Source organism: Homo sapiens, chromosome 12 (genome assembly GCF_000001405.40).
Source record: "Homo sapiens chromosome 12, GRCh38.p14 Primary Assembly".
Taxonomy (NCBI): domain Eukaryota; kingdom Metazoa; phylum Chordata; class Mammalia; order Primates; family Hominidae; genus Homo; species Homo sapiens.
Genome location: NC_000012.12, coordinates 112,245,471 through 112,272,933, shown reverse-complemented (window position 1 = coordinate 112,272,933; position 27,463 = coordinate 112,245,471). Strand labels below are relative to the sequence as shown.

The 27,463-nt window shown below is 40.2% G+C and overlaps 1 protein-coding gene and 1 pseudogene across 2 annotated transcripts in view; one reads left to right on the top strand and one right to left on the bottom strand.

Moving 5' to 3' along the window:
* The window catches only part of HECTD4 (HECT domain E3 ubiquitin protein ligase 4), a 222,237-nt gene that overhangs the window by 109,498 nt on the left and 85,276 nt on the right, over positions 1-27,463 (top strand). The window contains exons 12-29 of one of the 2 annotated variants that reach the window (NM_001388303.1): positions 2,475-2,707; positions 3,085-3,230; positions 5,952-6,022; positions 6,951-7,056; positions 7,639-7,759; positions 8,722-8,850; positions 11,505-11,629; positions 13,669-13,822; positions 14,338-14,438; positions 16,416-16,614; positions 18,772-18,891; positions 20,406-20,510; positions 21,800-21,963; positions 22,557-22,790; positions 24,422-24,614; positions 24,763-24,867; positions 25,384-25,472; positions 25,858-26,033. In NM_001388303.1, coding sequence (NP_001375232.1) covers positions 2,475-2,707; positions 3,085-3,230; positions 5,952-6,022; positions 6,951-7,056; positions 7,639-7,759; positions 8,722-8,850; positions 11,505-11,629; positions 13,669-13,822; positions 14,338-14,438; positions 16,416-16,614; positions 18,772-18,891; positions 20,406-20,510; positions 21,800-21,963; positions 22,557-22,790; positions 24,422-24,614; positions 24,763-24,867; positions 25,384-25,472; positions 25,858-26,033 — 2,571 coding nt within the window. Of the gene's footprint in view, positions 1-2,474; positions 2,708-3,084; positions 3,231-5,951; positions 6,023-6,950; positions 7,057-7,638; positions 7,760-8,721; positions 8,851-11,504; positions 11,630-13,668; positions 13,823-14,337; positions 14,439-16,415; positions 16,615-18,771; positions 18,892-20,375; positions 20,511-21,799; positions 21,964-22,556; positions 22,791-24,421; positions 24,615-24,762; positions 24,868-25,383; positions 25,473-25,857; positions 26,034-27,463 lie in introns of both variants that reach the window. The other variant, NM_001109662.4, reaches the window with a different exon arrangement.
* RN7SKP71 (RN7SK pseudogene 71) lies at positions 5,619-5,857 on the bottom strand (annotated as a pseudogene).

Here is a 27,463-nt window from a genome sequence, read left to right as displayed (position 1 = left end):
CTTGGTCAGCACAGTAATTTCTCTCAGGGTGGAGAAGATAGTGAAAAGCAGCAGCTTTGCTGCCAGAGGGGGCTGACTTGATAGGGAGCAGAGCGTGGAAAAACCTCATGTCCAGTAGCATTGTCAGTAACAGTAGTCATCTTGGTGGCAAACAAACAGAGACCAGTGGCTCAGCAGGTCTTAGATCTTGATCCCAGTTAGGGCAAGCAGTGGCCCAGCTGACTAGCTAGAAGTTTACTAGTGAGATCTGGATAGTGAGAAAGCTGTGGGGGACCACACATCTACACAGAAGAGGCCTAAGACAGCCTAAGCTACTCACACAATTCTGGCTAAACATGAGTCTGCATACACATGCAAAGATGTGAGAGGGCCCAACAGAAAGTAAAAACCAGAGCAGAGTTTAAAACCGCGTGAACTTTGCTGCACTTCTCCCGAAATACACAGATCCATCCAGGGTGAAAGTATTACTGGCTCAAGGTGTTTGACCACAATCATTGGTTGACAACCACTAAGGAATACAGATAGGGGTGAACCCTAGGAAGCCAGGCTGAAAAAGAAAAACAAGAATAATTAAAAATAAATGAGGCTAGGCGCTGTGGCCCACACCTGTAATCCCAGCACTTTGGGAGGCTGAGGCAGGCAGATCACCTGAGGTCAGGAGTTCGAGACCAGCCTGGCCAACACGGGGAAACCCCATCTCTACTAAAAATACAAAAAAGTTAGCTGGGTGTGGTGGCAGGCGCCTGTAGTCTCAGCTACTTGGGAGGCTAGGGCAGGAGAATCACTTGAACTGGGAGGCTGAGGTTGCAGTGAGCTGAGATCATGCCATTGCACCCCAGCCTGGGCAACAACTTAACTTTTTTGAAACTCTGTCTCAAAAAAATAAAATAAGATAAAATTAAAAAAAATAAATGCAAGAAAGAAACAAGTATTTGAAAAAATAAACTGAGCAGAGAAATCAGTAACCATGCAATGCAGGAGAAATGCAGATGTTGGACTGATGACTTTAAAGTCAGATGAAGACTTAAAGCAGCCATTATAAATACATTTAAAGAACTGAAGGAATCCAAGTTTAAAAAAATTAAAGGCAAGTATGATGACTATGATTAAGCAAATTGAGAATTTCAGTAAAGAGATTATTTTAAAAAACAAAACAAAACAACAACAACAAAAAAAAATGGAAATTCCAGATTTGAAAAGAAAAATTCAGTAGAGTGGCTCAACAGCAGATCTGAGCTGCTGGGAGAAGAAAGCAGCAAACCTGGGCCATAGATTAGTAGAGTTGTTCTGTCTGAAGAGCAGAACAGGACACTTGGGGAGTACTGGTCACACATTTGCAGAATAGAATTTCCTTCCCTGTGGGTTCATCTGATGCTTTCTCATGGTTAGACTGAAGTTACGGATTGGGGGAAGAATACCACAGAAGAGGTATCCCCTTCACATTACTTCTATTCCAAGGTACATGATATTGACATGACTTATTACTAGTGATATTAAAAACTGATCACTTTGTTTAAATGATGTCTGCCAGATTTCTCCACTATTAAGATTCCACTTCTCCCTTTCCACACTCTGTTAGTCTCGACCACACTGAAGGGAAGGGGAATTAAGCTCCACCTCCTAGAAGAAGCATATCAGAGAACTTGTAGACTTGGTCCTTCAGAGGACCAAAGCCAGTTCATGTAGACAAATGTTAATCACCACAGTAATTAGTATCTGTAGGGTCAGTGTTTTTTCTCAGCTTTCATTCTTGATTTTGGTATTTGTGTAAATTTACTAAAACTTGGTGAGTTGTGCATTTAGAGTGGGCGAGTTTTATGGAATGTAAATTATATCTTGATAAAGCTTTTTTTTTGAAAAAGCAAAAAGTAGAAAAGAAAGTCCACTTTATATTACTGACTACCAAGCCTCTTGCCTGAACTCCAGACTGTGGATTCACTTCCACTTGGTTATCTAACGGGCATTTTCAGCTTAACATGTCAAAACATGAGGAGCTATTTATAGACAGGAGTTCTAATATGGAGCAGACATAGGATATGGAGAGGTTTTACTAGAATGGTTACCAGTAGGGGCTGTGGAATGAGGTGGCCTGAATCCAAATCCCAGTTCTACCACTTCTTAGCTGTGTGACCTAGGGCAAGTACCTTAACTTCTCTGACTCTTGGTTTATTGCTCTACAAAACAGGGCTAAAATAGTCTAAGTTGAGAACCATGTAAAGCATTCAGCCCATTCTTCAGCATATAAAAAGGGCTCAGGAAGTGGTAGCTACTTATGTTCCAAACAAATGAACTCCCCAAGTGTTTTCACCCCAGCACCTGTGGCAGGGAGAAGCGTTCTCTGGCAGCAGTGAAAGAGATTATAGCCAAAATATCCTTTTCTAGTGCGCACACACCTTTTGTAAGTCAAAGGTCTATTCTTTGGGGACCACCCATAGAGATGTCTTTCCTCACTCAGTTTCCTTTTCATCTTCTAGAAGAGGCTATAACCACGAATGAGGTTATAAACCAATTATTGCACCACGTTGGTGCGATGTGCATACACCAACTCAATCTTCTTGCCACCAACCCCAATCTTCCAATCACAAGTGTCTTGGGCAAGCAGCATCCAATTGAAGCACATCATCTTAGCAGTATTTGTGACATTATGGAGAAGGCCATGGTTAATGGAGATACCTGTATTATACGCTGCATTCTCGTTGTCTTTCAGGTAAATACACTGTTTTGAAATAAATAAGATGATAGAGAAAAGGAAACGCAAACCTTGGCTTCAGCCAGTTCATTTTTACCAGAAGAAAAATTTAATGATTTTCCTGTTCTGCATCTTACCACCTTCTGATCCTGGAGTTAGAATTATCATATTCATTGCACTGTGCTTAATGGAGTATTGCTATACATAGCGTATTACAATTAATATATGCAAAATATTTACTATAATTATACCGTTACACAGTAGAAGAGATTGTGGTTAAACAAAATCCACCTGGTTATTTGTTCATAGGATATCTACCATGTACTTTCTTTGTAGAGATAATTTTATCCCCAGTAGAATTAGCATTTTTAGATAGACTCCTTCTGTTTCTGTAGGTGGTATTTAAATTTTTCTTCAGCCCACAAACTGAAAGGAATCGAGACATCATTCGACGGTCGGGATTGCTTCTTTGGCAGTTGTTGATGGCTCCAAAAGATCAAATTTGCCCTGAAATTCAGAAGGAAGTCTGCCTTGCCATCAGGTAAACAGCTAATGATTTTTGTAGTGCTCTCTGCAAAATGATTCTTCTGCAAGGCATTGTAATCTTCCCTGAAAGCTGGTAGTATAAATGCCTCTTACCCCATCCCACAATTGGGACCTCATGGATTGGGGATAATTTCACTGGAGAGGGGTTTGTGGCCCCACCTTCAGAGGACCAAAGCCAACTGTGTACCTGCATTTCCTTATCTCACTGTTTGGATCTAAAACAAACAAACAAACAAACAAAACCAACCCTTTAAGTGGATATTTTGATTGTTTGCAAGCTGATCTCATTTTGCAGAGTGTGGCAGGGTGGTTAAGAAGCAGGCTTTGGCAACAGGCAGACCTGGGTTCTAGACTTTGCCACTCACTAGTGTGACCTTGGTTTAAGGTTCGCATTTCCTTAGCTGTAAGATGGGCATAAAAATAGCACCTGTTTTATGGGTTTGTGAGGTTTTCCTAAGGTAAGGCCTGATGCAAAGTAAGTGCTCAACAATGCAAGCCTTTATCAACCTGTTTAAAACCTTTTCAGGGCCGGGCGCGGTGGCTCACGCCTGTAATCCCAGCACTTTGGGAGGCCGAGACGGGCGGATCACGAGGTCAGGAGATCGAGACCATCCTGGCTAACACGGTGAAACCCCGTCTCTACTAAAAATACAAAAATTAGCCGGGCATGGTGGCGCGCTCCTGTAGTCCCAGCTACACGGGAGGCTGAGGCAGGAGAATGGCGTGAACCCGGGAGGCGGAGCTTGCAGTGAGTCGAGATCGCGCCACTGCACTCCAGCCTGGGCGACAGAGCGAAACTCCGCCTCAAAAAAAAAAAAAAAAAAAAAAAACCTTTTCAGACAAGAGAGCAGAATTTATAGGCCATTTTCTATTTATTGTAAGTCTTTTTTTTTTTTGGTTTGTTTTTTTAGTTCAGTGAACTTTTTTTCTTTTTGCTTGTTTGAGACGGAGTTTCACTCTTGTTGCCCAGGCTCGAGTGCAGTGGTGTGATCTCAGCTCACCGCAATCTCCGCCTCCTGGCTTCAAGTGATTCTCCTGCCTCAGCCTCTCAAGTAGATGGGATTACAGGCATGTGCCACCATGCCTGGCTAATTTTTGTATTTTTAGTAGAGATGGGGTTTCACCACGTTGGCCAGGCTGGTCTCGAACTCCTGACCTCAGGTGATCCACCCACCTTGGCCTCCCAAAGTACTGGGATTACAGGTGTGAGCCACCACGCCTGGCCTCAGCAAACTTTTATACAGGAATACAGCCTTAAAGTGATTAAGTATAATTTAGTGTCCAAGAGAGAGCTGAATGGTTGGTCTGAAAGATCTGTATGACAGGGGTGAGCATAGATGACAGGAAGTTGTTTTCCTTCCACAGCACATTATGCTTCGAATCTCTTTCTGTGGAGCATTAAGGCAATGATTGAAATCTGATGCTCTGAGGAAACTTTTGGAGGGGATGGGTATATTCACTATCTTGATTGTGGTGATGGTTTCATTGGTGTATACATATGTCAGACTTATCAGATTGTACACTGTAAATATGTGCACTTGATTAAATGTTAAACCTCAATTAAAAAAGAAAAGAGGCTGAGTGTGTTAGCTCATGCCTGTAATCCCCAGCACTTTGAGGGGCCATGGCAGGTGGATCGCCGAGGCCAAGTTTGAGACCAGTCTGGGCAACATAGTAAGACCTTGTCTCTACAAAAAAAGTAAAAACAAAATTAGCCCGATGCCCTGGCAAGAACCTGTAGTCCCAGCTATTTGGGAGACTGAGGTGGGAGGATCACTTGAGCCTGGGAGGTCAAGGCTGCAATGAGCTGAGATCACACCACTGCACTCCATGCACTCCAGCCTGGGTGACAGTGAGATCCTGTCTAAAACACACACATGCACACATATAAGCACACACACAAATAAATTAATGAAAAGAAAAAAGATTCTGATGCCATTTGCAATATTGTTCTTCCCTTCTCTTCGGAAAAGCTGAGAATTAGAAATTTACTTTCTCAAGTGTTTTTTTGGGGAGGCACAATAGTTATATGTAGGCTTGACTACATTGACTTTTCATAGCTTACCAATTCTCTCTAACCAGTTCTGCATCTAGCCCCAAGTACTTATCATTTGGGTAATTCACAGGAAGAGGAGGAGAGGGATGCCACTTATCAGGGAAGTGATTGGACTGGATCGTGACAGTGAATTTAGGTTCAAATGCCTTTTTAGGCCAGGTGCAGTAGCTCACACCTGCAATCCCAGCACTTTGGGAGGCCAAGGCAGGTGAATCGCTTGAGCTCAGGAGTTTAAGACTAACCTGGGCAACATATTGAGACCCTGTCTCAATTTTTTTTTAATGCCTTTTTAGTGATAAAAGTTATTTCACAGTTTTATGTAATCAATTGACATCTTGTTTGGAGGTTCTAGCAGGGGAGCGCAGCTACTCGTATACCCTTGACCGAAGACCGGTCCTCCTCTATCGGGGATGGTCGTCCTCTTCGACCGAGCGCGCAGCTTCGGGAGGGACGCACATGGAGCGGTGAGGGAGGAAGGGCACACCTGCCTAGCCAGCCAGATCAGCCGAATCAACCCCAGCGATCAATGGGGTGACAGATGTCGCAGCCAGATTGCCCTCACATCCAATTGACATCTTTAATAAAAATATGAATTTAAATATTTAGAGTTGATTTTCTAGAACATTTGCTTAAATGTTTTTGACTTTTTTGTCATTTCAGCTCTGGTTTAAATATCTTGTACCCAGGTGAAACTGAAATCAATAACTTACTTAAACTGGTCTTAACAGAAGGTAAGAATTATCCTTTAATTATCTTTGAACAGCCGTCCTTTTTTTGTCCCCAAGGAAACAACTGCATATTCAGATAATATTTACACTTCTTCATGTATGTTAGTCAGCATATTTAAGAAATGTATCTGCAGGCCAGGCACGGTGGCTCACACCTGTAATCCCAGCACTTTGGTAGGCCAAGGCAGGAGGATGACTTGACCCAGGAGCTCGAGACCAGCCTGGCCAGCATAGCAAGACCCTGACTCTACAAAAAATAAAAACAATTAGCTGGGCATGGTGGCCCATGCCTTGTCATCCAAGCTACTCAGGAGTCTGAGGCAGGAGGATTGCTTCAGCCCAAGAGGTTGAGGATGCAGTGAGCTGTTATGACACAACTGCACTCTAGCCTGGGCAACAGAATGAGACCCTGTCTCAAAGAAAAAAGAAAGAATGTATCTGCATATATGCTTACACTTCAACCAGATTGAAAGCAAAAACCATGTTTTATATATCTGCAAGCTTTATAAACTTTCTGTCTCCACTGCTTAGCATAATGTATCTGACTATAGATGTTTAATAAATAAAATAATCACTTATTGGTGATTTCTAAGCCAGTTATCTTCACACATTAGAGCCTAACATTTTAAGTTAGACTAAACAACACAACAAAAGGTACTATGTTAAAGACAGTTGGCATTTAAAAGCAACATTAAGGAATAAAAAATCACACTTCATGATCTATCAAGAGGGTAATTACACTTTAATCAGGATGCTGGTTAAAAAGTCGGATTCGTTGTGATGTCGTTTTTGCCACTCTTATTTGTATAAGTCCGTATGTCTGGTGCCCCTAGCTTGCCGACAATCTATTTGTTTAAAAACTTTTTAAAAATAGCATCAGTATTCTAGGAGTCATTACCAGGGTAGTTGATGGAGCTTTCTTCTGTGTTAGGAGAGAGAAACAGTGGACTCTCCCAGCTACGGGATGTGATCCTAACCAACCTGGCTGAACAGCTCCAAAACAACCGATTTGGCAGTGATGAGGATGATCATTACAGGTGACACCAGTTATATTATTCACTTCTAGCCTTTGTGTTCTCAGTCGTTAGTTTACATTTAAATGTGTTTGATCAACTTTAGTCTCCTGTTATAACTAATACGATCGTTAGCATGTTAAACCTAAAGCATGGACCAGTTGAAAGATAATAGATTCCACAGTTCCCCTCAGAACTGATAATTGCACATTTCAGTTTTATCAGTAAAGTAAGTTGGGCCTGGGGAAAGGGTCTTTAGCAAAAATAACAGATGGAACTTACTTAGGAGATCTTGGTTCAGAGTACCATCCAAATTGCTGGTTTATGAGAAAGGCTGAGTATGTGTGTTAGAGCTGGTGAAGGGGACGAAGGTGTTGTTTTTATATGTTATTTATAAAATACTTTGACTTTGTAGTTGGGTGCCATTTGATTTCTATAAGTTTGATTTAAATAATATACCTAGTTGTTAGCATTATTACTAAGGTGATTTGCTTAAGAATCAATTATGTATCTTTTATTTGTCATCTTATACTAATTATATAAAATTTATCCTTTTATGAATAAACCATCAATATTTTATTGTTACATTTTTCCTGCATTTTAAAGACTAAATGATGAACTTTTACACTACATTCTGAAGATTGTTGTACGAGAATCCTGTATCTTAATCACCAAGTGCCAAACTGTCTCTAAAGATGATTTTCAAAAGCTCCTTTCAACTGTGCCTGTAAGTAAAAATGTGTTTAATGAAAGCAAAATTATATCAAGCATCCCTGTTTTCATTTTATTATATTGACAGGTGTGTGTATACATACAGACTTACAATAATTTATGAAAGGCCGGGCGCAGTGGCTCACGCCTGTAATCCCAGCACTTTGGGAGGCCAAGGTGGGTGGATCACCTGAGGTCAGGAGTTCAAGACCAGTCTGACCAACATGGTGAAACCCCGTCTCTATTAAAAATACAAAAATTAGCAGGGTGTGGTGGTACACATCGGTAATCCCAGCTACTCAGGAGGCTGAGGCAGGAGAATCACGTGAACCCAGGAGGTGGAGTTTGCAGTGAGCTGAGATCGCGCCACCGCACTCCAGCCTGGGTGACAGAGCAAGACTCCGTCTCAAATAATAATAATAATAATTTATGAAAGTCCGTGGATTACTACTTACCCTAGAAATGTAGAACTAGACAAATCCACTTGAAAAACTTTCCAAAGACTATTCCCCCTGCTTAAATTGCTTGATGCAATAAATTGATCAGATTTGGGAGTTTTTGTTTTATCTAGTGAGAGTGTTTTTTCCCTATTAATTTTTAATTTTACATTGTTTTCTAAACCATGAGTGTTTTATAGAGACCAATAGGAATCAAAAGATTCTTTTAAGGGTTTGAGTATTCTTCTATAATGGAGATGTGTGTGAGAGGGAGGGGGAAGAATAATTATTAAGAGGCAAAAATTCAAGTAAGTATTCTAATTAGTGAGGATTGTGTACCAAAAGGCAGAAAGTTATAGTAAGTGTGTCAAAGTATGTATGGAAAGCCATGTGGAAATAAGGCACCTGAAAAACTAACTTGGTCTGTTTTTTTTATTTCTCTTTTTGTTTTCTTTGTCAAAATCTTTTAAAAACATGAGGATTACATGATCGCTCTTTCAGTAGGATTTAGATCATTTAAATGCCCTTATTTGTATTAAAGGCTGCATCCTCCTGCCTGCGCTATCTGATGGCAGTTCAGAATCACCTTCTCAGTAACACTATTTTGATTAAACCTGATGAGAATGATGACAGTGACAGCTCCTTGCAGGGAGAGACATTGAAGGTACAGGTAAACACCAAGCTTTATTTTAACGATGCGTTCTACCCAGTGTGAAAAGCAGCTTAATTGGCTAAATTTCTGTGTTTTATGATGTCAGAATTCACCTTGTGGCTTATATTCTTGTGAGAGGTAACATTAGGCCACTCATTCCATAGATTTTTTATGTCATTACACAGTAGTCACCTACTTGTGACACTCATAATGTGTCATCCGTGTGCTCCTGTCAACCTTTTTGTGCCTTTGTTTACTTCCATCTTCTTTTAAGAACTATAAAATATGGCACTTACAAGTGATCTCATGTGTACCTGAAAGTTATAGCTACATAGACATATATATGTGTATGTGTGTGTGTGTGTGTGTGTGTGTGTATATATATATATATATAAAAATCTTGGGAGCATTAAATAATTTCAAAATTTTAGATGGTTTATTATATTCTCTTGATTAAAATAACTTTTAAAAGGTGATAATTTTTTCAATCTTTGTATGGAATAATCTAATTTCTAAACCTATAGTCAATTTCATTTTCTGTGATTATTTTTAAATTAGCTTCTGTGTAAACTCACTAACTTGTTCCCACATGACAATTTATAGCAGTCCAAAGATTTTTTTATAGCCATGGTTGTTATAATTTTGACAGATGCTCAAGGCTGTTGTTTGCATTGTTCTTCAGAATTTCATCTTTGTGGGAGAATCAGAGAAATCTACAAGAACTTTATTCTTTCTTAAAATGTTAAACACACTGAAAAATCAACCAAGGAAGCCACAGTTAAAGATAAAAGCCAATGCAGTTTGCCCCTTTCTTACTCCTTTATGCATATATACTATTTAAATAATACATCTGATAGTTTGTACTTATGAGTTTACCTCATTGTATAATCCATTTTTAAATAGGCAGACATACATGCACTTTTAATTTAAGTTGTTGATAATATTTATTTAACTTCTCTTGCCTTAGTTTTCTCATCAGTAAAAAGGGACAATAACATCTTCTTTGTAAAGTTGCTGTATTAACAACAAGCCCTGTAAATACCTGGCACTTTGCTGCCATGTGGTATGGAGTCAGTAGATGATCATGAATGTCATTAGTGTGACTTAAAACATGATTTGGCTCATCATTAGTTCAGAGTTCCTACTCTCTTAAAGATTAAAAAAAATCTCAATAATACTAAAAACAGCTGGGTGTGGTGGCTGACACCTGTAATCCCAGCACTTTGGGAGGCTGAGGCAGGTGGATCACTTGAGGCCAAGAGTTAGAGACCAGCCTGGCCAACATGGTGAAACCCCATCTCTACTGAAAAATACAAAAATTAGCCGGGCGTGATGGCACTCCCCTGTAATTCCAGCTGCTGGTGAGGCTGAGGCGTGAGAATTGCTTGAACCCAGGAGGTGGAGGTTGCAGGGAGCCCTGATCATGCCACTGCACTCCAGCCTGGGTGACAGAGTGAGACTGTGTTTCAAAAAATATAATAATAATAAAGACCCCAGAAAATTCCAACAATGAGAAAGTTTTTTCTATTTGAAGGCTAAATTTTAGCCTTAGTAGATTCTTTTTTTTTTTTTTTTTTTTTTTTTTTGAGATGGAGTCTCTCTTTGTCGCCCAGGCTGGAGAGCCGTGGTGCAATCTCGGCTCACTGCAACCTCCATCTTCTGAGTTCAAACGATTCTCCTGCCTCAGCCTCCCGAGTAGCTGGGATTACAGATGTGCGCCCATCTGTAATGCCCAGCTAATTTTTGAAATTTTAGTAGAGACGGGGTTTCACCGTGTTGTCCAGACTGGTCTTGAACTCCTGACCTCAAGTGATCCACCTGCCTTGGCCTCCCAAAGTGCTGGGATTACAGGCATGAGCCACCGTGCCCGGCCTAGCCTTAGTAAATTCTTAATTAAACATAGAAATGTAAAGACTCTTAGGAAAGGCTGAATAGGCTCAGTTGTCTAGGTTTCTGGGGAAACATGTCCCCCAAAGAGTTTGTATTTTTTTAACTGAAAATAATTGTAAACTAAACATTTCTATGATGTTAGCTAGTCTTTCTTAACACATTATTTAGTATTTGTACTCCCACGAACTCTCTAATAGTTATTTTAATGTTTAATAGCCTGTAACTGCTTGCTACTTTAATTGAATTTTTTTAACTGCCTGTTTTTAACTGTGATTTGTTTAGGACATTGAGTAAAAGGTCACTTGTACTGTTTTAGAATGTTGTGTTTTTGTCTCATTTTATTCACCGCCTCTACATGCGCCTTTTACTGTTCTGTTTTTCTCTTTAGCTATCCTCATACCACCCAAGGCAGTCTTCCACCTGGACAGTTTCTGGGCTGGCCACCAGGAGCTCTCTTGTGCTGGATGGGATGGGAAATATTTCTTGTGCTGGCTGGGATGGGAGCCTTTTCTCCTAGGGACTCAGTGTGATCCCTCTGAAATACTGCGTATTTCTGTCAGCTCTCCAGACCTTGGCCTCCCAAATTGCTACTTGCCATTTACTGCTTTGGGCTTATTCTGGCCACCTCATTATTTCTAGCAGAATTTACTGCTTTGGGCTTATTCTGTCCACCTCATTATTTCATTTGGAAATACATCATTAAATACATCATTTCATGTTGTCATTGTGAACGTATGTTCATCACAAAGCTTAAAAATAATATGATGATATTTTCTGCCTAGGAGCTAAAAGTCAGTATTTTGGCTCTTGCCACCCAAATCCTGACTGGATGTGATGAAGTGTTGGAAATGCTACAGCAGGTCACAACTGCCCTCATAAATAGTGACATAGCAGACCGTGAGCAGAGGTGAGGAATGGATTGTGGGCTGTGACCAGCTGCCCTGTGGGAAGAAAAGTTTGTTTATTGAAATTAAATCTTTTTAGAATATAGAAGGATCAATTTTATATAGAGAGATTTTTGTGAGAATAGGCTAAAAGGGCAAGTGTTTGAAAGCCAAGTGCAGTCACACTCTTTCATGTGCTTTCAGGTGAGATTGGGCCAACAGCCATGATCTAAGGGTAGCGAGGTTGTGGAGGGCACAGCCTAATCTCTGCCACTTGAGACTTCTACTGCCATCACTCCCAAAATGGCCTTTCCTTTAATTATCAAGGTCAGCACCATGCACACTTAGTTTCCTCATGATAAAGACTTTTGGGAGGAAGAAGTGACTTACCAACTGCTACACAAAGGATGACACTGATGTGGTACCTCAAGATTTTACTGTAATTTTACTTCTCCAAATACATGGCTGACCTATATAGAGGGCAGACTTCTCTTTCACAGTAATAAAGCCCTTTCTCAGCCTTTCACATTAAAATTTCTGCTGTAACCCCATCTCTACTAAAAATACAAAAAAAAAAAAAAAAATTAGCCAGGCATGGTGGCAGGCACCTGTAGTCCCAGCTACTCAGGAGGCTAAGGCAGGAGAATGGCCTGAACCTGGGAGGCGGAGCTTGCAGTGAGCCGAGATCATCCCACTGCACTCCAGCCTGGGTGACAGAGCGAGACTCTGTCTCAAAAAAAAAAAAAAATTCTGCTCTGGTTTGTTTTTAGAGATGCATTGAATACTGTGTTTTTTGACAATTTGCATGTTGGAGCTGTAGATCTAAAAGAATCCTACAGTGTAATTTTTGCTTCCGTAACCCTGTCTGTTCCTATGGACTTGGTTCTTACCCACTCCCAGAGAGTAGATAGGAGGTTGGGATTGGGAACAGTATAACCCAGATAGGCATTGCATTGAGGCTTAGTAATACGTAGTTCTGTCTAATGGGAGAGCCTGGGTTTCTGGTTCCACTACCAATATCCTAAGTAGCCTTAAGGAATTTACATAATCCATTTCTTTCTACATTCCTTAACTCTTCTAGCAGAGGACAGGGATATTAAGAATGTGATTTTAAAGATAAATTAAAAATTTGCCTACTTAGATGAGTCAAAATCATAGAGACAGAAAGTAGAATGGTGGTTGCCGGGGGCTGGGGGCAAGGGGAAAATGAGGAGTTATTGTTTAATGCGCATAGAGTTTGGGTTTTATAACACAAAAAGAGTTGTGGAGATGGATGGTGGTGATGGTTGCACAACATTATTTAATAACACTGAAATGTACACTTAAAATGGTTAAGATGGTAAATTTTGTGCTATGTTTATTTTACCATAATAAAAAAAAAAATTGGGGGAAGAAATCTGCCTGCTTCTGCATGCCCCAGACAAGCCTCAGTTTCTCTAGACCAGTAATGGATGTCACAGCTCTGGGCAGGTGAATCAATGTTGTAGCCATTCACTTCCTCCTGTTTAGAGTCACTGTGTAGCATAGTGACCAGCAGCCCCAGAGGCAAGAGAACTTTACAGGTAGTAGCCATTGGCATTTTAGAATCCATTTGTAAAGTGCTTCAAAGGTGCTATGAAATGCACCATGTAGCAACCTAGAACCTAGAACCTAAGTAGTTCATACCTGTAATCCCAACAATTTGGGAGACCGAGGTGGGAGGATCACTTGTACCCAGGAGATCAAGGCTGCAGTGAGCTGTGATCGTACCACTGCACTCCAGCCTGGGTAACAAGAGTGAGAGCCTGTCAAAAAAAAAAAAAAAAAAAAAGGCAGCTTATAAATTTTTTGGCAAAAATCAGAGACTGAAGGTGAAATCTATTAATAGCTTTATTTCTGTTCTTCCCCTCTCCCTCAGTGGCAGAAGGTGGAAAATTTGTGGACTGAATTGCTATCGCTGAAAGTGCTTAAGTAGTTTAAGGAGGTGCAGTTTAGGAGAAATTGTCAGATAAAGATGACATTAGTGCTTCTTCACATGTTTGGGCATTGCTTAGGCTGTGTGTTTTTCTTGAACTTTTTGTAGGTTAAAAGGCTTGGAACAAGTTACTAAGGCTACTATGCTTGGTCACCTTCTTCCAGTGTTACTGACCTCCTTGATGCATCCAAATTTACAGACTCTGATCATGGCGGATGCCCTGATGCCTCAGCTAGTGCAGCTGGTACTCTATACCAGCCAGGTATGATCCTTGGTGTGCCAAAGTGAACTGCTTTTTGGCCAACCTGCTTCACAGGATGGCTGTTTGCTTTCACTGAAGACAGAATAAACATAATCCTGCCTTTCAGAAACCAAGGGAAATAATGATGGAATGAAGAAAAATATCATGTCATAAAAATAAATAATAAGGGAAAACATTTTATTTGTTTGACTAAATTACTAACTGCAACCTTTTAGCAAGTGTTCATGGCTGATCAGCTATAAAAATGCTAATATACAATGCTACCAAAAACCTACCATTATAGTTTGTCTCCTGAGTCCTTGCCAGCTAATAGTAGCTAATATAAATGATGCATTCCATTACAGCATTAAGTAAAATAATGTTAAGTGGTCTAAGTAGCACAGCATTTCTTAATGAAGGAGAGCAGACTAGGATTGTAAAAAGATGATTTAAGAGAGACCTCTAAGTTTGGCTGTCATACCATTCAGATAACTGACAGTAGCCCTGGAAGACATAATGATGGTTTTGTGTTTCAGACGGCGTTGCTGCTTAAAACCCAGTGTCCGGTTTTTGCTGAGGTGGGCTGTTCCCCGTGTGGTGCACCAGACCAGAAGTGCAGGCTGTTCCCTGATGAGAGGTAATGAATGCTGCTTCCTTGCAGGAACCCTTTTCTTGTTTTCTTTGGGTGAAAGCGTAGTACTCCTTTTATGAAAATGATTTTTAGCAAGGATTATCTAGCTGTGAAAAGAAAAAGACTTCAGAATGAAAATTTTAGATAACTGTAGCATTGCTTTGTAGATTTATAGCAACTGGTTAGCATAAATTTCCCCATGGATCAAGAGATTAGTTCAAAATTGATCTGAAATTCTCATATGCTAATAGTGGGGATGTAAAATATTATGACTTTGGCAGGCAGTTTGGCTGTTTCTTTTTTTTTTTTTTCTGAGATGGAGCCTTGTTCTGTCACCCAGGCTGGAGTGCAGTGGCGCAATCTCAGCTCACTGCAACCTCCACCTCCTGGGTTCAAGCAATTCTCCTGTCTCAGCCTCATGAGTAGCTAGGATTACAGGCGTACGCCACCACACCCAGCTAATTTTTGTATTTTTTAGTAGAGACGAGGTCTCACTGTGTTGGCCAGGCTGGTTTTGAACTCCTGACCTCATGATCCGCCCACCTCAGCCTCCCAAAGTGCTGGGATTACAGGCGTGAGCCACCACACCCTGCCGGCTGTTTCTTAAAAAGTTAAACATACACCTATTGTATGACCCAACTATTTCACTTTTAGGTATTCACACAAGAAAAGAAAGCATAGGTTCTTACAAAGCTTTGACATTAAGGTTCGTAACAGTTTTGGTTAGAAGAGCCCAAAACTGGAAACAACATAAACGTCCATCAGTAAGTGAATGGATAAGCAAATTGTGATATAGTCATACAATGGACTCTAATCAGCAATAAAAAGGAATGAACTTTTGTTATATACAACAATGTTTATATAATCTCAAAATACTTAACCCTGAGTGAAAGAAGCCACATACTATAAAACTCTAGAAAATGCAAACTAATCTCTAGTGACAGACAGCAAATAAGTGATCACCTGGCAGAGAAATGGAGTGGTTACAAAGAGGAAGAAGGAAACTTAATGGTATAACAAATGTCCAAACTTATCAAGTTGTATGTTTTAAATATGTGCAATTTATTATGTCAGTTATGTTGCATTAAAGCTGTCTTTAAAAAAGATTTCCTGGGTTTCTCTAGAGCAGCAGGCTATGGAATTGAGCTTTTCGCAGTGATGAAAACTTCTATCTGTGCTGTCTAGTTCCATAGCCACAGGTAGTTATTTAGCACCTGCAATATAGCTAATGTGACTGAGGAGCTGAATTTTAAATTTTATTTCATTTAAATTCAATTTAATTGAAATGGCCACATGTGACTAGTAGCTACCATATTGGACAGTAAGGCTTTGCAGCTCAAGCTTCGGAGTTGAAAGAATAAGAGAATTCCATGGTAACTAAGTTTAAGTCTTAGGAGTTTGTATTCCACAACCTCAGGCTCCATGTCGTCCTTGAGAGTTCAATTACAGTAGGTAAGAGAACCTTTGAAGGCACCTTTCTTTAGTAAAAATTATGGTGAAAAGTAGCTATGTAGACTCCTGGAGTTTTCAACAATTGTCATGTAGATATCAACAAAAGGAAATGTTTACAGGATGCTAACCCTGTGGGATTTGCAAAGTGGCCAATCTTAAAGATCCTTTACAGTATCTTTTTTTTTTTTCTGAGTACCTTTAAATGAGAATTGATCAGGTCTTCTCTTGGATATCAACTGGGCTTCGCCCTTGAAAAAAAGAGGGAAAAATGAAAATATATCTCTGCTTCTTGTCCTGGAAAAAGGCAAAAAAGAAAAAAAAAAGCAAGTATAATATCTGACAACAAGGAAAGAAAAAACCCTTAAATGTAGGAATTTTTAAAATGTTTCTGATTGCCACTGATATCAAGCATTTAAAAGCCTCAGTGTTATCATACTGCATGCTGTGGAAAATTAAAGAGCAATTTAATGTTTACATTGTTTTTCCTTTCCTTGGCTGCTAAGCTAAATCACTTTCTCTTTTTCTGTTTAGAATGTTAGAAGAGAAGGAAGAGCCAGGATTTCTCACTGGTTTAAAGATTCCTGCCCCATGGGCTGCTGGAAAGACTGTGGAAACAGTCCACCCCGTCAGAGACAACTATAAATTTAAAGAAACGGTCCATATCCCAGGAGCTCGCTGCCTGTACCTTAGATTTGATAGCAGATGCTCTTCGCAATATGACTATGACAAAGTAAGTAAGAACTGGGTTACTATTGGTTCCACCTCGAGTAAGCTGATTCTTAGATGCTTCTTATTTTTCTTTGCTGCTGGTCACCATTCTTGACTGATTTCTGTCTGCAGATATCTCTAAGGAGAACTTTCCTAAGATAAAGTTCTTATCTTTGAAGGGTAGTGATTGAGGGAGTTAAAGAAACACCACCTCTGCAGTCTAAGAACAATGTTTTAATGATATGTTGAAAGTGTACTTTGTAAGCTTTCAGGTGCTTAGATATATGAGAGGAAGGAAATGTTCCTTTTCATTCTGCTTACCCCCTGCCCTCCCTCCGTGCTTGAAGTTACCCCAGATGTGTGATGTCCATTCATCTAGAAAGGTCTCACTGCCCAATTCTTGGGGCTTCTCATGTATCTTTTGGGAAAAGGTGGCTTTTTAGAAGGGTTTCAGAGGTGCTAGGATCTGGTTTATATTTATTTAAACATTTGTTCTTTTTTTGAGGAAGAGTAGTTTCCAACCTGGTGGCTTAACAGTTATGAACGAAAGGAAGCATCTTAGGGGTTGAAGCATTTTCTTCTACTTAGAATTGTTGAATTGTAACCTGTCATGTGGTCTTAGGGGGAAAGGCTAATGAAATATGTAACATATGAAAGAACAGTTGGAGGATTATCTAATAGCTTCGTGCATACTATTTTTATGTAGCTTCTTAGTGATCTGTTTTCTCTCTCCCCTGTGAACTGTGTGAGGGCAAATGGGCTTAAATCCTAGCAGGGGATTCTGACTTCTGAGGCTGACTTTTAAAAAAATTCTATCCGGGGAGGTTTTTAGGTTAAAAATAAAGGACTTCTTAACTGTATATACTATGAGATGGTGAAACACATTTCTGGGCAAGTTATAGAATCCTCTTCCCCATTATCTTTTAGGATAGTGAAGATTCCCAGGTGTCCCCAAAGCCTTGTCTTCAAAACTCACCTTAGCTGGAAGCAAGAAAATATATGAGATGATCTTTAGTAGGCCTTTCAGAAACATATCTCTCCTAGCATCAGTCCACCGTAATTCATAGCTCCTGGCATTGGCTACCCCCATTTCCCAGGTTCAGGTGAAGTGACTTTTAATATAGAAATGGGAGAGGCTGCCATTTTAGTTGGTGTCGTTTTGTTTCTCCTTTAAAAACTGTATTTTGCATTTCCAATATGCGCTAACTTATGCCTGCAGTAGACATTAGTGTTAAATGGTGAAGCACAAAGAGGCTTACTACATGGATAAAAGTACATTTACTTTTCCAGTGGTCCCTGGCTGGTGTCAGCAAAAGGCCCCAAAGGGTAAGAAATCACGAAATAATAAGCATTCAGGGCTGAAGATAGAGCTACTAAATCTGAACTTAGATGCAGTGAGAAGCAGTCAGAGCGCACATTAGAAGACAGGGTTTGGTATTTACAGAAGCCAGAGCTTTATTTTTCCTATGGAAGTCTTTGAATGCCAAATGAGCTATAAATGTTTCTTCTGCCGATTAGAAAGTCAGCCAGCTGGTTATAAATGAATTAGAGAAATATTGATACATGAAAACTGACCCAAGAAGCAGCAGCCCCCTTTCTGGCCCAAATTTGTATCATTTTCTTTTTATACCATTAAGCAACATCCTAAGAATATATGGCTTATTTTCAATTTGTTGCATTTTTAAAAATTCTTATTTATTCATTGATTTTTTTTGGTGCTTTTATTTTGTTGTTGTGTTAGATATAACCATATTTCCATCTGTATTTGCTCACTTTATTAATTTTGGGGAGGACTTAAGGGGCCAAACTGTTATTAATGAGTTATTTGTTATTAATTAGCATTAAAATAGCTATTTCAAAAATATTGATGTACAATAACTGAGTATAACTATTTAATGTGAGGTCCCCAAGCCAATTAAAGTGTGGTAATATAAAAAGTATACTTCTTTTTATTAAGAATTGTTATTACTCTGTGGCTTCCCTGTAAATACCAATGACTGATTGCATCCAAACTAGTATCAGTTATACCTAAAAAAATCGGGAAATATTAGTTATACTATAATGACACCAATGCCTGGTTATAATTGTATTTTAAACAAATGTTTTTGCAGCCTTTTTATTTGTAGATGTTGTTTTTGTTTTTCTTTTACAGTCTAACAGTATATTTTCTGTTTTGAAGTTGGTGATATATGCGGGGCCTAACACAAACAGTAGGAAGGTTGCTGAATATGGAGGCAACACACTGGGATATGGCAGCCGTAGTGTCTTAGGAACTGGTTGGCCGAAAGACTTGGTGAAGGTATGGTATTCAGTCATAATCGCTTCCTAGAAAAGAAAATGAACTTGCAGTCCTCACAGGTCCAAGTACTAACTGTAATCCCAGAAAAACATTTGCCCTGGGGGCTTTTGTTGAGGTGGAGCCACCTTACCAGGCCTGTCAGCTCACTCCTTCTATTCAGAATGACCCTCCTTTCACTTGTAGGACATCAGACCCCTGTTCACTCCCTTTCACAAGTTACTCCATGCATAGAAGTTGTCACAGCATTTTCTTCCTTGTTGATTAAAAGGGTTGCTAGATCTTCCAGCTTAGTTCTCCTCTACACTCCCTGTTGACAAGTACCCTAGAACCACAAGGCCATTGCAGTGTAAAAGTATTGAGTTAATGTGTTCAGATGAATTTGGGCCTTTGGAGCAAAAACAATTATCCATTCTCAAACTGATGAAATTAGTGCCATGCTTTGTAATTTGGCCCTCAAACTACTTAACTGTGTATCTGCCTGGAATATGAATATAAGACTGAAATGTCTGTTAAAACCCAAAAATGTCTCCAAAGTCTGTTCCCGGGGCCTTTATTTCATATATGTTATGGACTCTCTTTAATTCAGCCATAGATGGCAAGCCATTTGTTAGAAATTATGGCCAGGTGCAGCTGCTCACGCCTATAGTCCCAGCACTTTGGGAGGCTGTGGCGGGCAGATCACCTGAGGTCGGGAGTTTGAGACCAGCCTGGCCAACATGATGAAACCCTGTCTCTACTAAAAATACAAAAATTAGCCGGGCGTGGTGGTGTGTGTCTGTCATGCCAGCTACTCAGGAGGCTGAGACAGGAGAATCGCTTAAACCCAGGAGGTGGAGGTTGCAGTGAGTCAAGATTGCGCCATTGCACTGCAGTCTGGGTGACAGAACGAAACTCCATTACAAAAAAAAAAAGAGAGAAATTATGCTCAAGGCCGAGCAAGGTGGCTCACGCCTGTAATCCCAGCACTTTGGGAGGCTGAGGTGGACAGACTGCTTGAGCCCAAGAATTTGAGACCAGCGTGGGCAACATGGTGAGACCTTGTCTCTACAAAAAAAAAATAAAAAAATTAGCTGGGCATGGTTCTGCACACTTGTAGTTCCAGCTATTCAGGAGGCTGAAGTGGGAGGATTGCTTGAGCCTGGGAGATTGAGACTGCAGTGAGCCATGATTGTGCCACTGCACTCCAGCCCGGGTGACAGAGTAAGACCTTGTCTCAAAAAAAAAAAAAAAAATTATTTTCAAGATTTGATTAACCTTTACCTTGATCTTGCTAATGGGCAACTGTGGCCCATTTCACAGATGCCTCATCCCAAAGGCGACCTCATCAGGAGAGACACTTAAAGGACTGGTTGTCTAAATGAGAGGGAATAGAATTTGAATCAAAAAGCAAATGAGAAAAGGAGTGAAATATTGCTGTGGTCCTTTTTGAAAGTAAACCTCTGAAATTCATTGCTCTTTTGAAATTGTGTATCTTGTTTTTAAAGTGCATTTCCCCCCCTTCCTTAAATTTTAAGGTGGAAGGAGATACAGTCACCTTCTCCTTTGAAATGAGAAGTGGCCGTGAACACAACACTCCTGATAAAGCCATGTGGGGCTTTGCTTGCACAGTTCGCGCTCAGGTACTTGAATCTAACCACTGCCGTGGACAAAATGTACTATCTGCTATGTGCCTTGATTACATACAGCATATTTGCCTTGGAAACAGGGCAGAATATGAGTCACTCTTTCATCTTTCTCTTCTAGTTGGCACTAGTCAACTACTAGCAGTTAGTAGTACTTTTACAGAATAAAACTAGCCATGACCTAAAATCAACTCAGCAGCACAGAAATAAATCTATTGATTGGAGCTCCCTCTTCAAAGTTTGGGGAGGTGACCTGACCCCAGCATCTTTCCACAGGGCAAAGAGGACTCAATAGAACTTAATAGAAATAAGCACTTAGATCCTGGGTTTTAAGAGTAGTTAAGCATCCGGCTGGGCGTGGTGGCTCACACCTGTAATCCCAGCACTTTGGGAGGCTGAGGCAGGTGAATCAGCTGAGGTCAGGAGTTCGAGATCAGCCTGGCCAACTTGGTGAAACCCCGTCTCTACTAAAAATACAAAAATTAGCCAGATGTGGTGGTGGGCACCTGTAGTCCTAGCTATTCGAGAGGCTGAGGGAGGAGAATCGCTTGAACCAGGAGGCAGAGATTGCAGTGAGCTGAGATCATGCCACTGTACTCCAGCCTGGGTGATAGAGTGAGACTCCGTCTCAAAAATTAAAAAACAAACAAACAAACAAAAAACAGAGTACTTAAGCATCCTACTTACCCCTCCAGTTGCCTGATTCCGAAAACGTATTTTAGACTTTGAGGTTTCTTAAGCTTAACCAAGCTAAGACTCTCCAGAGTGGCATTAACTGCTAGAATGTAAGCTCCGTGAGAGCAGGGATCTTCATTTCATTCTCTGATGTATCTCAGGCACCTAGAACAATGGCTGGCACACAGAGGACACCCAGTAAATATTTCTTGAATGAATTCACTGCAGTCATTGACAACATCACAGTTTGAGCACAGGGTGGAAGTGAAAAAACAAAATAGTGATTTATACTTAGGTGGGCACAACAGAGAGGAAGCTATCAAAGAATCAGGCTTCTTTATTTCATTTGTACTATTTATTTGATTTGTACTATTGTATATGGGGTCTGATCAACTATTTTCTCTCCAGAAATGTGTTGAGACTTCACTCTGGTCATTCCAGTGCCACCATCTAGTCATGATTTGGGTGCTGTACCTGTGTCCCCTAGCAGTGATACTCGATGCTGCTCTGTAGAACCCTGTGGTTGGGGACAGTGCAGTGTGGGGCAGCACAGGTAGCAGCCTCTGCCAGTGTACACTGACCAGTGTGGTTTACCCCTGTCTGCATTGTAGGAGTCTTCGGAGGATGTCTCAGGAGGCTTGCCCTTTCTGGTAGACCTGGCTTTAGGTCTGTCTGTGTTAGCTTGTTCCATGTTAAGAATCCTGTACAATGGACCAGAAATTACCAAAGAAGAAGAAGCCTGTCAGGAGCTATTGCGGTCCAAACTTTTACAAAGGTAACAAAAAGGTTGAAATTGAGCTAGTGTTGCCTGCAAAGGAAAAAGGACTTTATGTGGAAAAATCCTTTTGGTACATTTCCCAGGTGATTGTGCCTACTGCCTGGCAATCTCATGGGTGTCATTGTGTCTAAGAAAAATAAGATGAAAATTACACCATAGTGCTTTCTGGCCCTTACTTTACTAAATTTAAAATTACATCTTTGAACTGCATAAGCTTTTCTCCAACACAATTATTGTCTAATTAAATTGAATGATCCCAAGAGGATGGGTGGATGTGTGATAAAGCAAACACAGCAAATGTTTATTGTACAATCTAGACAAGTGTGTCTGTGGATATTAACCATGTCATTCTTTCAGCTTTTCTGTACATTTAAAAGTTTTAATGATTAAATATTGGGGGGGAGCTAGATCCCCAAAGATGGGCTTTCATACAATGCTCACTTGTCTTTAGCTTCTGGAGAAGGTTTGATGAGTAATTACTTAACACAGAATGTGATCCTTCATATGTTTGATGTATCTGCAAACATCCAATAGCTTTCCAATACTCTTGTTGAGAGAGGAAGTGAAGAGCCTCTTTTCTGTCTGCTCAGGTGCCAGTGGCAGGTGGAGGCCAATGGCGTGATCTCCCCTGCCCTTACTCCGAGCCCCTCTCCACTGCCTCTGACCATAGAGGAAGACAGAGAATTCACCTACCCCTCTGATGTCCTCGTGCCTCCTGTTGGAAACTACTTTGATCTGCCTCGGATCAGACTGCCTCCAGGAATCATGATAAAGCTCAGGGAAATTTCTGGGCGTGCTAGACCTCAATTTAGACCAAGTATAAAGTATGTTGCTGTGTAGTGTTTTACTTTTCCCAATGGGAAAAAAAAGTTTAAACAATTGAAATGGGTATATTTCTTCTGTGGTCTAGTAAATGAAACTTTAATTTTATGTTTACTCCATGAATGTTAAAATTAACTGAGTCTAGAGGGCCCACCAGGCAGTATTCCAGACTAGGGGCTCTCAAAATTTGGCCCACCAGTCAGCAGCATTGGCATCACTTGGGAACTTGTTGGTTCTTGGACCCCATTTTGCACCTATTGAATCAGAAGGTCTGAGGATGGGGCGCAGCTTAACAAGTTTCCCATTTGACTGATGCATGCTAAAGTGTGACAAGTGCTAGGTTTATCTCTAGTATTTTGACCTTCTACTAGCAGTCAGCCTCTACTTTACTTTCCAGAGTCTAGAGACATGTGTTTATTTTTGATGCCTAGAGAAATGGTGAGGAGTTCTCTAATGTAGAATGTACATACAGTTACAAATGTCTGTGGTATTCTTGCTTAAAGTCAAGTCTGTTTTGCAGGCCTCTGCTCTGCCTCCTGAGGCAGGTTTTCAGAGAGAAAACTTTAGAGAATATATGAAATTTAAAATGAAAAAAATACAGAAAACACTATCGTTTTTAGCCCAACATCCATATGTACTGAACACTGCAGGCCATAATACCGCATAAAATTAATTAGTGGATAGATGCTGCTGAAGATCTTTTCTTAGCCTTAGCCCTCTTCCAGCTCTAATATGTCTCTAACTCAAAATGTAGCAATCATAGAAAATGAAGTCTCTTTTTTTTTTTTTTTTGAGAGGGAGTCTCGCTCTGTCACACAGGCTGGAGTGCAGTGATGTGATCTTGGCTCACTACAACCTCTGTCTCCTAGTTTCAAGAGATTCTCCTGCCTCAGCCTCCCTAGTAACTGGGATTACAGGCACATGCCACCACACCCGGCTAATTTTGTGTTTTTAGTAGAGACGGGGTTTCTCCACGTTGGCCAGTCTGGTCTCAAACTCCTGACCTCAAGTGATTCGCCAGCCTCAGCCTCCCAAAGTGCTAGGATTACAGGCTGAAGTCTCTTTACTCTTGATTTTCAGCTTTATCAGCCAATGTCAGTTTTATCAGTCAATATACTAAATTATTTGCCAACGTAAGACTCCGACAATGCCATTATACTATTCATACCTCTTACTCTATTGTAATAAAGGAGGTGTGGTGAATATTTAATATCTTTAGATCAAAGCCTAAGTTCTCCAACCTGTAAAATACTCTCTTGGGCCTGGGGCATGGTGGCTCATGCCTGTAATCCCAATACTTTGGGAGGCCAAGTCAGGAGAATCGCTTGAGCCCAGGAGTTCAAGACCAGCCTGAGCAACATAGTGAGAAACCGCCACCCTAAAATTTTTTTTCTTAAATTAGCTGAGCATGGCAGCATGCACCTGTAGTCTCAGCTACCTGGGAGGCTGAGGCAGGAGGATCCCTTGAGCCCAGGAGTTTGAGGCTGCAGTGAGCCATGATTGCTCCACTGAACTGCAGCCTAGGTGACAGAGGGAGACCTTGTCTCTAAAGAAATAAAAAATAAAAATAAAATACAGTATTGAGAAGCTGAGAGCATGGCATATATCTGACTGATTTCCATTGTGATCACAGAGAAGTGATTCAGCCAGACGTGATGGAGGAAATGGTGGTATCTTGTGTTATTAAGCACTTGAACTTGGTTGATGCACTGCAGTCTCTAATAAATTTCCAATATCAAGAAGAACATGCTGAAGAATATGATTTATTATGTAAAATTATGGGAGAGACCTTTAAGAAACTCAATGCCATGGAGAGACAGCTGCAGGTAAATGTCTGATAACTGTTGGAAACAATTTCTTTTATGGAAATTTAAAGAAATTTAGAATGTGATCTAATTTTTAAAATTACTATTGTGACTAAAATTTTGAATCATACTTGTTTTTATTTTGCATCTATTTTAATGTATTTATTAGAGTGTTGCAGAACTGGAACAAAAATGGCAAAGTGAAGTTGATGATGCCATGCAGGGGAAACTGGAGAACAACATGCCTTTCTTTTATGATTACCATTTTAATGAGGTGAGCAAATTGTATGATTTGTCACTGGGGTATTGCCATTTAGAGAGCAAAGGTATATACTGTGTGTGTGTGTGTGTGTGTGTGTGTGTAGGTAAAATAATGTCATTTCCTAAAATGTTGCACACTCCAAAAATGTACCCATTCTTTAAAAGAGGTTAAATGAAAATTGATTAGATCAACATGCAGTATACAAATAATTACTCATTAGGTTGTTTTTTTAACTGATTAATAGTTTTATAAAGATATATAAAGAAGTTGTCATCATGGTCAAATTTTGCTTTCAAGCCTTAAAAAACAAAAAATAGGCAAAATTATAAGCCCTGAAAGAATTCCCAGAAAGTAGTCAATGCCATTTTTAATCATTAAAATATCAAATAATAACTTACAAATGAGTTTCAAGCATAGAAATGTGGACCAAAGGTGGTGGTTTTTCTCTGAAATTTTCTGTTCATTTTAATATATGTATAGTAAAACTTGGTTCTTGCAGATTCTGCATACCATCTTTTTTTTCTTTAGAACAAAATGAAAGAACTAGAACTTTTATGTTCAATGAAGGAAGTCTCCTTTGATGGGAATGATCTTGAAAACATGGTCCTATCACTGAGGTTAGTCGTATTAATAACTATTAAGGCTATTATCACCTTGATGCTCAAAACACACTGTAAAGGTCTAGTCTCTTAATAGATATATTTTTAAATGTTGTGAATTTACTAAATATTTTAGAGTTGGAACTCATTTGGTAAATTGGAAATTTTGGTTTTAGCCTTCCAAAGTTAGCATAGGCATTTGAAACAGAAAAAGGAGCCAGAAGTGGCCAGAGTTTCTAACAGTGTTACTTGGATGAGGAAACAGGGAAGTAAGCAATGTTGATTAGGTTACTTTTGCTTAGTTTCCCCTGTGTCTTCTCTTATTCTTTGTAAACATTTTTTTTTAATAGTTGTTTTTGATAAGCTAGAGAACAACTCAATGCACATCAGTCTTTCTTTATAGGGAGAAGTTCCTACAAGAAGTGAATTCTCTTATTCAGAAACCCTCACACCCACTGGCTAAAACAAAGACGTTAGTGAAGAGTTTAATGAACCGAGCCGAGCTGTTGCTGCATGTCACCATCGCAGCCCAGTCGGGCCTCACGAGAAGCATCTCTGGGACCCCTGCTGAAACACCAGGTACTGCTCAAAGATAGCCCCTAATCGGCTTCTGTTATATGAACAGAGAATATACTCTGTTCATATAAGACACACAGCTATATTTTGAAAAATTCACTCTTGGGTACTCTGAGAAAGGAAAACAAAAGGAAATTTTAACATATTTAATTTTGCCTTATACTTTCTGTACAAAGCACTTGAGTGACAAAAGAAAAACAAAGAAATACTTGTATGTCATTAAATTCCTGCGGTCAACTTCTTGTTTTCTTTATTTTATTTTATTTTTTGAGACTGAGTCTCACTCTGTCGCCCAGACTAGAGTGCAGTGGCGCAATCTTGGCTCACCGAAACCTCCGCCTCCCAGGTTCAAGCAATTCTTCTGCTTCAGCCTCCTGAGTAAGGTGGGATTACAGGCGCATGCCACCATGCCTGTCTAATTTTTGTATTTTTGGTAGAGACGGGGTTTCACTATGTTGGCTAGGTTGGTCTCGAACTCCTGACCTCTGGTGATCCGCCCACCTTGGCGTCCTAACATGCCAGGATTACAGGTGTGAGCCACTGCGCCCGTTTTTGTTTTCATACTAACATATATAATTATATTTCATAGTAACATATACAATTAGTCAACATCATAAATCTTGTAACTTTTTTCCTCTTTACTTGAAGCTGAGTTTGCATTTCATCTTTAATAATTATGTGGAACCTTGTGGTATGACTTCCTGGAAATTAACTTTTTCTAGGTCACATTTTATTTTATTTTATTTTATTTTATTTTATTTTTTATTTTTTTGAGACGGAGTCTCATTCTGTTGTCCAGGCTGGAGTGCGGTGGCACAATCTCTGCTCACTGCAGTCTCTGTCTCCTGGGTTCAAGCGATTCTCCTGCCTCAGCTTCCCAGGTAGGTGGGATTACAGGCGCTCACCACCATGCCCAGCTAATTTTTGTATTTTTAGTAGAGACAGGGTTTTGCTATGTTGGCCAGGCTGGTCTTGAACCCCTGACCTCAGGTGATCTGCCCACCTCAGCCTCCCAAAGTGCTGGGATTACAGGCGTGAGCCACCACGCCCGGCCTAGGTCACATTTTAATTGTTAGCCTAAAAATGCATCTCTCAGGAAAATCATTGAGTCTTCTTACTTAAGACAGGATCTGTAACATGGCACAGCCCACAAGCATTCATTCTTAACCTGAGAGATAAAGTTAAATAAACAAGTTCTTAAATGAAAGAGTCCATGTTACGTAGCCCCATTGCCCAGTGGGCAGTAGAGAGCAGGCAAACTTGTTTTCATCCCAGCTGGTCATCTAAGGCTCTTCTTACTTGGGATTTGAAGTCTAGGAGGACTCCCAGGGTCTCGCTCTCTAATACAGGTTCTCCCTGAGAACTTCAGGGGAAGACACAGGTTTGGGAGAGAGTGTGTGGTACAATCACATGCCAGGATGGTCTGCTATACA